The 10,660-nt window shown below is 34.9% G+C and overlaps 1 long non-coding RNA gene across 1 annotated transcript; it reads left to right on the top strand.

Moving 5' to 3' along the window:
• Positions 1-1,286: 1,286 nt before the first annotated feature.
• On the top strand, positions 1,287-8,246 carry LOC105374514 (uncharacterized). The gene is made up of 3 exons (XR_925450.2): positions 1,287-1,458; positions 6,984-7,036; positions 7,984-8,246. It is a non-coding gene; the product is annotated as an uncharacterized LOC105374514 (long non-coding RNA).
• The last annotated feature ends 2,414 nt before the right edge of the window (positions 8,247-10,660 follow it).

Raw genomic sequence — 10,660 nt, 5'->3', positions numbered from 1 at the left:
CAAGTAAATCACTGTTACTATTGCCCATTCAAACAGGAAAACTAGCCATTTGCTAATTGCCTTTTGTAATTGGTGGTTCTTGTTACTTTCTGTAGGTTCCCTGGAAATCATTGTTTTCCCTTTCAAATGGTAATACTTCTAATCATTAAAATCTAAAGAAAATACATCTAGCCTTTTTGTTTGTGTATGTGTAGTAACAATATAAAACAGAAAAGACAATAACTTTTCATATGTATAGACATCCATCTTTACATTAAAATATTTTCTTTGATTAACAGTTTAGTTGGGAATCTAATAACATACCGATATATTCATTGAATTTAATTATCCTAGGATTTAAATTACTTTTTGAGATTAAGTGTCAAACTCTCATCCTGACAAGATAATAGATGAAATATTCTAAAATCTCCTCCAATTACAACATACATAACAGTACTGGAATTTAAAAGGAAGCATTTAAAGATGCATAGGTGATCTGTCAGAAGGTAAGAAAAACTTTTGGGAAGGATAAGAGGTAACAAGGAACCAAAAACAAACCTAAAATCTGTGCATTAATCCAGAGCGGTGAATGTTGAAATATTAAAGATACCTGCAGGCACACACACTAACCTGGAGCTTTAATAAAAATGACCACTGAAGAGATGGGAGATAAAGCCTGGAGCCCTTACAAGACAGGGAATCACATCCTAGAGGAGAGTAGAAAGCTAAGAGTCTAAGAGTTCTAAAACCTCAGCAACAGAGGTATTTGGGGGCAACATTTAGAGAGTGGGTGGCAGACATACTCTGCAAGGATGAAGAAACTTGTCTAACTTGACTTTGGGTAAGGAGGTGGTAGGAGTCTTTTTTGAGACTCTCCTACAAGACTCTCAACAACTTAGGGGGGGTAAATTTATTGAATTTAAAGTGCTGTTGCTTTCCTTGATGAAATAATTCACTTTCCAACTTGTACACAAAAAACTATTACATATAAAGTTTCAGCATACAACACAAAACACATGAGGAAACAAGGCACCCTGAATGAGGGTCAGCAGAAACAATAAAATGCACAATCGGATTCATGAGAACCCAAGATGACAGAATTATTTTATACATGAGAAAGCAAACTAAATATGACCGAGAAGGACTCCATACTTCTATGTTTGAGTCCTTGTGGATGAACTGCAACCTAACTTAATAGACAAGTTCGAACACCTAACTTAGGAGTATGCGCCTGTAACAATCGCTGATTCTTGGCCAATCTCAGCGAGTACTTCAACCATTCATACACTGCTGATGTTCAAACTGTGTCCAAGTAAGACAAACGCTGAGCTGAGCTGTAACCAATCCAGCTATTTCTGTGCCTTACTGCTGATTTCTATCGTCACTTTACTTTTTTTTTTTTTTTTTGTCTGTAACTTTGTTCTGACCAGAAGGCATCTGTGGAGTCTCTGAATGTGCTGTGATTCTGATTCACGAATGGTTTGTAGCTCAATTAAACTCCTTTAAATTTAATTCGTCTGAAGTTTTTCTTTTACCATAGAGAATCCAGTGAATTTGTTAAAAAGTCTTTTGATAGAGCAGAAGTAAAGACAAACATGAAAAAATTTATCAAGGAAGAACAAGGAGGCAAAGAGAATGACTACATGAAAAAGAGCATAAAGAGATTTCAAAACAAGAAGACTGATCAGATTTTCAGAAGGTGAAAATAAGCAGAATACTAAGAAAACTGTAGTTATTAATTTTACCATAAATCAAATGTTATACATACATTTACTATGGCCCAGGTAGGGTTACTATTAGGTGAGTATTATTATTATTATTATTATTATTATTATTGTTATATTGTTTGATAGATAGGGAAACTGAAGAATCAACTAAATAACTTTCCTAGAATCCTACAGTTGGTAAGTTGCTGAATCAAGATTAAAAGCTAGGGAGTCTAGCAGTGAAGTGTGTACTTTTATGTATTTATTCTATCTTTCAAAAAAATTTTAAAATATTTAATTGATTTTTAATTTTAAAATGTTTGGTTGACAAATAACAGTCAGTACTTTCTTAGACGGATAAACAAAAGGAAATCTATAACCCAATTTATCACGGCGAAACTATTAAACACCAAAGACAGATATAGAATTCTGACAGAAGAGCGGGAAGAACTAATATTGTTAAAATGTTGAGGAAAAGCAACTACTTACCAAAAGCTATATAGCCAAAAAAAAAATTTAAGAAAAATGACAGAAGAACAGAGATTTCAGACAAAACTGAATTTCAAAAGAAATGGATGCATTTTAGATAGAAGGAGAATGATTCTAAAAGGAAGGCATGATTTTTAAAAAGTTGGTAAACAAAGGAAATGGTAAACATGTTACAATGATATCTATGGTGAAGGCATTAGAACAACACAAGATGGGAAATTTTTGACTGTGCATGTGCACATTTGCGCGTGTGTGTGTGTGTGTGAGAGAGAGAGAGAGAGAGAGAGAGAGATTGGAGTTTAGATGTCCTCTAATTTCCCCAAGTTGTTTAGAAGGTGGGTATATACATTGATTTACTTTAGTCTTAAGTGAAGCATGCAATTAAAAAATGAGTAACCACTTAAAGAACAGAATGCAGTATATAATTCCAAACTACAAAAGGAGAAAAAATGGGGGGAAAAATAAAAAAATGTAAAAGAAGACAAGAGAGGAGCAAAAGGAGCACAGCAAACCTGGGACAAAGCAGAAAATAAGATGGTAAAAATACATTCATATATATCAGTGATCAGAAAAAGAAAGAAAAAAGATTACTCTTGCCAAAGGTGGAATAATTTTATTAAACTTTATTAAACTGTCAACAGAATGATTAGCTTTATTGATCTTCTTTGATATATCTTATACAATCTGCTGTTTACCGCATATACATCTTTAACCATACGAGTAAGAATAGCCATAAGAGAAATGATACAAACTAATATATTAGACTTATGTTAAATTAGATAAAACTGGTGTGCCTTAGCTAATGATAAAGGATCAAGGGCCATAAACATACAATAATTCTAAACATACATAGATTGAGTATCATAGCTTAAAAATTTACTGCAGCAAGATTTCTACATCTACAAGAAGAAACAGATAATATATCGACGTATTTGGATATTTGAGCATACTGCTTTTAGCATGGGATAGATCAAGTAAATAATCTCAAAAAAAAGTGATAGATAGGCTTGATCTAAAGCACATATATAGGATAAAATAGAGAACTTTGACTCAACACACTTATTCTTTCCCAACTCACATGAACATTTATAAATCTGACCCATGTCATAAAGCGTAGGCCATAGAGCAAGTCTTAAACATTTTCAGATAACTGGTATCATTTGGACCACATTCTCTGTCCATAATGTAATTGATTTAGGAATCACAAATATTAAACGCCTACATATTTTGAAATAAAAAACTCACTCCTAAGACAAAGGCATAAATAGGCATTTTACAGAAAGTAGGAATCATCAATAAACATATGAAAGATTCTTGACATCATTAGATGTATGAAAAGTAAATGAAGTTCTCAATGATACTTTTTAGTTCTAACAGATGGGCCTATTTTAAAAAGTCTGAAAATACCAGACTTTACTTTAGAGGGAAGTAAATGTGTTCATAGTCCCAGCAGGTGGGAGTGTACATTAGTACAAACACTTTAGAAAACAATTAGCATGATATAGTAAGGTTGAGGATATTCAAACCTTTCAAATCTGCAGTTGCATTCCTGGGTATACATCCTTCAGAATTTCTTACATCTGTCACTGGGAGACTTGAACAAGAAATTTTCCAACCACATCATTTGTAATATGAGAAAAGCTGGAAATTATCTATCTGTCCATCTAGATATACTTATTATGTATTGTAAAATACATAGTCATTTTTTATTCTATTGGGGTGGTTGACTTTTTATTGATTTGAAAGTTTTTTCTATAAATAATGTATTGAAGGTGGCCCTTGCCCAGTTTGTTCATCATTTCTTTCTTTGTTTATGTCTTTCATATAGAGGTTTTAAATATTTTATACATTGACATTTTATATTACAACATTTATCTAAACGTTTAAAGTGACTTTTGTCATTTGTACTATGTTCAGATCTTTCTCAGTCTCCAGGACTTTATTACTATTGATCTATATTTTCTTCCTATGTTTTTGCCCTGCCTCCCTCCCTGCCTGCCTGTCTCCCTCTCCCCTTTTCTTGTTTCCTTTTTTCTTTTCTTTTTTTTTAAACAAAGCTTTCTATAGAATGCATTTTGCATAAAGGGTAAAACAGATTCTATTCTCTTCTTTCTTTTTTCTAGAAAACAATACATTCCATTCTAATGTATGTTTTTCCCCTGGCACCAAACTATTTACAGCAGTTCTAAACATTTTTGATATTTAGCTATATAAGGTGTTTCGAATAACTGGAAGGAAAAGGTCCCTTAAATAATCCAGTTTTTGTCAAAATTTTTCTTCTTATTTTCATGTTATCTTTACAAATGACTTCTTGAAATGGTTTTGCAAATTAAAGATATATTCTTGAAACTTTTATTTGGGATGACTATTTGAATAGGGGAGCTATTGATATTTGTATTATATTGATCTTTGCTAGGAAATAATACACTATTCTTTTTTATTTATTTAAACTGTTTTTCATATGTTTTCAGTGAGATTTGTAGACATTTTTTCCAATGATATCTCATATTCTCATTAGATTTATCTACACTTTTTAAAATTTTGTCTGCTATTATAAATAGATAATTTTTCACCATATTTTCTAATATTAGTCTTTAAGAAATCTGTTTTTCTTATTTTTGAACTCCCAATTTATCATCACTTTGAACATTCTTACTATTTCTAATATGTTTGCTGTTGGTTTTCTAATAATTATATCATCAGCAAATTATTGAATTTATGTCCTATCTATTCTAATACTTAACTTAAAAAAAAGGCTAACAAAGTAGTGATTGAACCAGCTACTTCTTTGGTAGAAATGTTACGTTGGGGAGAAAAGGCATCCTGATATTTTTTCTTCCCACTCATGGTAACAATTACAATATTTCATCAAGTGTGTTATTGCCTCTAGGTTTAAGCTAGCCTATTATGTTTAAGAATTATTTTTCCCCTACTAGGAAATCATATTAGTTTGTTTGGGCTGCTATAGCAAAATACCTTAGACTAGGGAGTTTATAAACAATTGAAATTTATTGCTCACAATTCTGGAGATTGGGAAGTCCAAGATAAATGTGCAGGCAAAGTAGGTATATGGTGGGGGCCATCTCTGCTTTATAGACAGAGTCTCTTGTTGCATGCTCCCATGGTGAAAAGGAAAGATTGAACCCTTCAACATTTTTATAAGGGCCGTAATCTCATTCATGAAGGTGGAACTCTCATGGCTTAATACTTTTGAAAAAACTCTGTCTGTTCATACTGTCACACTGGGTATTAGGTCCCAACTAATGAATTTTAGGGGAGGGATACCAAAATTCAGACCATAGAAGAAATGATATTGAATGCTATCATCTATTAAAATGACCAAATCTTTTCTCCTTTGACTTGTTAATATGGTGATGTCTCTGTCTCTCTCTCTCTCTCTATCAATTAATCATCTATCATGCATCTATCTATTCATCCATCCATTTTCTGATATTAATCATCATTGTAATCCTGGCATAAAGCATGTTATTCATGGCATAGTATTCTTTTATATATTATTTTATATGCAATTTGCTAGGTTTTTGTTTAGAGATTTTTCATCTATCTTACCAAATAAACTTTTAAAATCATTTTCTTTTTTGTTCTACAGTTTTTCAGATTAGGTTTCATTGCTTCAATAGCTTTGTAAAAAGAATTGGTAAACTTCCTTTCCTTATTTGGGTTCTGAAACTGTTTACATATTAAACAAATAGAAATTTTAAGTTGTGAAGAAACTAGCTGTCCCAGGATATACAGTTAAAATATTTGTTTTATTTGTTTACAACTTGCTTAATTTTCTTGATGGTATAATAGATCTTTTGGTAGCCAACCAGTATCTTTTCCTTCCCTTATAGCCATCCCTTCACTACGTAGAGAATTCTGAGTTGATTATGATGTCCTCAGAGTTAAAACAATGTCCTCAGAGTTAAAAAAAAAAAAAAATTGCACTTCCCTTTTAGCCAGGGTAGCCATGTAAAATAGCTTTGATTGGTGATATGGAAGTGGATGGGTGGAGCTTCGTAGAAAACTATTATTTCCTTAATAAAAAATTAAACTCATTTGGCAGTTATTTGTAGTCCTGGGCCCTCTGCCTTTTCTGCCTAGTATATAGGCAGGGTACTCATGTTGCAGCAGCTCTACTATGAGCATGTGGATAAAAGCCATCTCCCTAAAGAGGAAAGAAACACATACCTGAGTTTCATTGCCCATCTCACGACTCCTTACAGTGTGAGAAATATAAACCCCTATTAGGTTAAGTCATGGCAGTCAGGTTTCTGATACATGCAACTGAATATAATTTCTAATCATAAGTAATTAATTTATGCAGGTTTTCTACCCTTTCTTGAGTCAATTTTAGTAGCATTTTCCAAGATGTCGTACATTTCAGATATATGAGAATATTTCAAATATAGATTTAGCTTAAATGTTTTATTATTTTATTTTACTAAAAATCTGTAGTTAACCTTGTGTTTTCATTCTCAAGTTTTTATTTTTGTGCTCTTATTTTTCTTTTTATGCTTCTCTCTTGCTGTGAACTCTTATTTTCAACGAAGGAGATTTTGAATTTATGTTATTAATTTTTTCATGCTGTTTTCTTTTCCCAGTCACTTTTTTCCCCCAATTTTCAGTTGAATACTTAGTTAACTGAATTTAATTTTTAGGAATAGAGTGTAAGAATTTAGCTTAATGTATTTTCCTGAGTTTGTGTTCACTGTCAATCCTTTCCCATTTTGTACCATTAACTTTATTTTCTAAAGATTTTAGTAAATGTAATTTTGATTACTTCTTTTATTATGTTTTGTTTTACAGTTTTCAACATTGTTGTGTTGTCTACAATTTTGTGATTCTTATATTGCCTCAAGGTAAGACAGTGTAAATAATTCAATTCCTAATTTGAAGCATGAATGTAACTTTTTTGTGGCTTATATGTTTTCTTTATCTTATGGATACTTAAAAAATCTTCTCTTTATTGAAGGTTGTTTATTTTAAGTTCTATATTTTGAATTAATCTTATTAATTATATTATTTAAATACTTTTTATCCCCTTCTTACCACTTGCCTATCAAATTAAATCTCTTAGTACTATTATTATTAATTACTCTTCAACTTTCTGATAATTTTGCTTAATATACATAAGTATTAAGTAAATCCTAGTATTCCAGAAACTGAATTTTCTGTTTTTCTGCAAGTCAATTGAATGTATAATTCTGTCATCTTGGTAGGAACTAAATTTTATCCAATTTGGAGGGTTTGTCTCCTCTTTCTACCCTGTTGCCACTAGACTCAGGATGAGATGGGGGTGGGGAATCTTAAATACATTGCATGATAAAATCATGCCCCATCCCAACCTTTTGCTGGAGGGAGAAAGGGAGGGCTTCCTAGCATCTCTTACCTGTCCATGCAGGCCTCTATTGTAATGTGACTTGGCTGTTGGCCCATGAGAGCTGTGTTAAGGTTCTCCAGAGAAACAAACAATATATGCGTGTATATATATGTAAGATTACAGATAGTGCTACACAATGATGTTTCTATCAATGTCAGTCTGCATCTGTAGAAGTGGTTCTGCAAGATTATAGTGGAACTAAAAAATTCCTATCACCTAGTGACATTGTAGATATTGTAATATTGTAGGGTAATGCATTTACTCACATGTTTGTAGTGATGCTTATATAAACTAACCTACTGTGCGGCCAGTTGTACACTACTATGGGGTGTTCAATTACATATGGGACAGAATACTTGATAATGGTAATAAATAACTGTTACTGGCTTATGTATTTACTATAAACACTTTTTATTGTTATTTTAGAATCTACTCCCTCTACTTACAAAAAGAAAAGCTAACGGGAAGAAAGCCTCAAGCAGGTCCTTTGAGAAGTATTACAGAAAAAAAAAAAAAAGCATCGTTATCACAGGAGATGGCCCCTCCATGTGTGTTACTGCCCTGGAAAACCTTACAGTGGGTCAAGACATGGAGATGGAAGGCAGTGATACTGGTGATCCTGACCCTCTGTAGGCCCAGGCTAATGTGTGTGCATAAAAGACAGTGATGCTGGTGATCCTGACCCTGTATAGGCCCCACCTTGGCCTCCCAAAGTGCTGGGATTACAGGTGTGAGCCACTGCTCCCAGGGGAGATGAAAAGTCTCCTTTCTTCTGAGTTTGAAACCCTCCATCAATTTCTTCTATGACTGCAGGGTGGGAGACTCATCCCCTCCTGACCCCTGGCCCACAATCTCCCAGTGGCCATATTCTCACTTCTCCTGTGTACCTTATAGTATCTCTACGTCGGGCAAAGGGAATTTTCCTCGTTTAAGGAGAGATAAACCTGTCTTCAAAATCTCAATATTTTACTGATGTAGGAGTCTTCTCTGGTGTCCTAGAGACATCAACTTCTGGACAACAAGCAAAGAAGAAGCCCTCTTTTCTCTGTTTTAACTGTTACATCCCTTTGTTTTGTTTACACAGGTATTGTTAGATCTTCTAAAAACAGAAACTGGAGGCCAGGGGTTTAGTTTCAGAGGGGAAATTTGCCTCTGTGTGTGTTTGTATGTATGTGAAAAAAAAAAAAGCTAAGCTGACTGAACAGACCCCCTCGTGGCTGAGGGGACCTCAGAGAAGCCTTAGAAGCTGAATTCCTGGCCATGATGGGTTGGGAGGTGGGACATGCCTCCTTATACTCCCTTGCTAACCACTATTAGGCTTTCTTTCCTAAGGGTTAAACAGAAACCAGCACTTTGGAGAGACTTGCTCCACCCTAGGTATCAACCAGTTGCCTGACACTGCCCCCTCTTTTTTGCAGATTTGACAAAACAACCAACCAAATTTCCTTCCTGATAGGAGACCACAGACCATGGGGTTGTCCTTAACTGTCTATGGAGGATGTATAGTGAGGATTTTCATGTCCTCTGCTTCACCTTTTGCTATCGGGGGCCAAAAAGTTCACCCTGGGATCATGTTGACGCTGCCATTTGTTTGTACATGTGACTCAGATGGGGCATGAAGCTTAACTGAACATACACAATTTTCTCCTTTCGTAAATAAGTATGGCTCCTCCTATAGCGTATTAAATATGTGTATTTGGTCCCCTGCTCAGCATAAATTCCCATTCCCTTTGCCCTTGCCTTGAAGTATCTGTTTCCGGCTTCTGACAGAAGGCTATGCTAGCCAGCTGTCAGAAGGACCACACTGCAGTCTGCAACCCTTTAGGAGAAATAAAGTCCTCCTTTCCAAATTTGTGAACTTCATCATTCTTAAGTTGACAGGCATGTGGGTGCATGCGCACATGCACGTGTGTGTGTTTTCTTCCTAAAAAGTTGTTGACATTTTGACACTGTGACCTAATTTTAGGCATCAGATTTTCAGTTTTACATGTCTCTATTACAGGTAAGCATGAAATTGGGCCTGTACTCCCTTCTGGAACTTTTGCTTCTTGGTTTGAGTAAGACTTTTTGAGGGAGTCTACAATTTAATTAAAAGACTATCTTGTGTTGGACATGAAACCTCAGGCTAGGAAAAAGTCCCTCTTGCTTGTCTATCCCTTTGACATGACCATGAGTATCTCCCTTCGACTCTTGGTCTGTAGTGGCTGAAGTGATTTCAAGCACTTTCCACTGTGGATGCTGAAGTCCAGATTCCTCTTAGGACCAAGGCACTTATTTCCAGCTGGCAGGTGCATTGTTGTTGCAAACTCACAATTGAGGCACACCCTTGTAATTGCCCTAGTTTAAGGGTACTCTGTCCCCCAAGTTAGTCCCCTCCCAAGGACTGTCCCTACCCAAAACTGGTCCATGATTTCTGAAGGATCATCCAAGCTTTAAAACTTCGCATGGCATAGGTTAATATTTTTGTTGCGGCTGCATTGAATTTCAACTCCTTCTTCCATCCAGTCCTACTGACCTCACTTCCCCACAGGGTACTCCCTAGTGCAGGCTAATTGCCATATCAGAATCTTCTTCCTGTAGCAGCAGACCTAAGGTACCATCTCTCTAATGCAGCACTATGCTTTCAGAATTCACATCAAGATTTTTAATTACAAATATAGTGATTTTCAAGACCTAGTGAGCCATTCCTATGGGTTTGAGTTTGCTTAACATTTTCTATTTTATCGTCACTACTCCTTGAGGTCACCGCTATTATTATTCACATTTTACAGATGAACAATTTGAGACAGAGAGGATAAATAGGTTGTCCATAGTCACATACTACATTCAGGCTAGCCTTTTGTTAGAGATGAGTCAAGAGACAAGAAGTGCAGCCTTCAGGCATTCTTCCCTCAAATTTCTCAAGAAGGCCAGAAGGCCACAGATGCTGCATCTGATTATGTTTAATCCACTGCAAAAAATAGGACCCCAAGTAGAGGGCCTCATTACTCATGCAGAAAACTCTTGATTGTAAATCTTGCTTCTCTGAAATATGGGTGGCTATGATGTGATGCCAGAATTTTTTTTTAATACTTCCTGCCTTGCTGCATCATTTTCTTGGATA

The sequence above is a fragment of the Homo sapiens genome, chromosome 4 (assembly GCF_000001405.40).
Source record: "Homo sapiens chromosome 4, GRCh38.p14 Primary Assembly".
In the NCBI taxonomy this organism is placed as follows: domain Eukaryota; kingdom Metazoa; phylum Chordata; class Mammalia; order Primates; family Hominidae; genus Homo; species Homo sapiens.
Note: the sequence above shows the minus strand (reverse complement) of the source record. Positions and strands in the feature narration are given on the sequence as shown.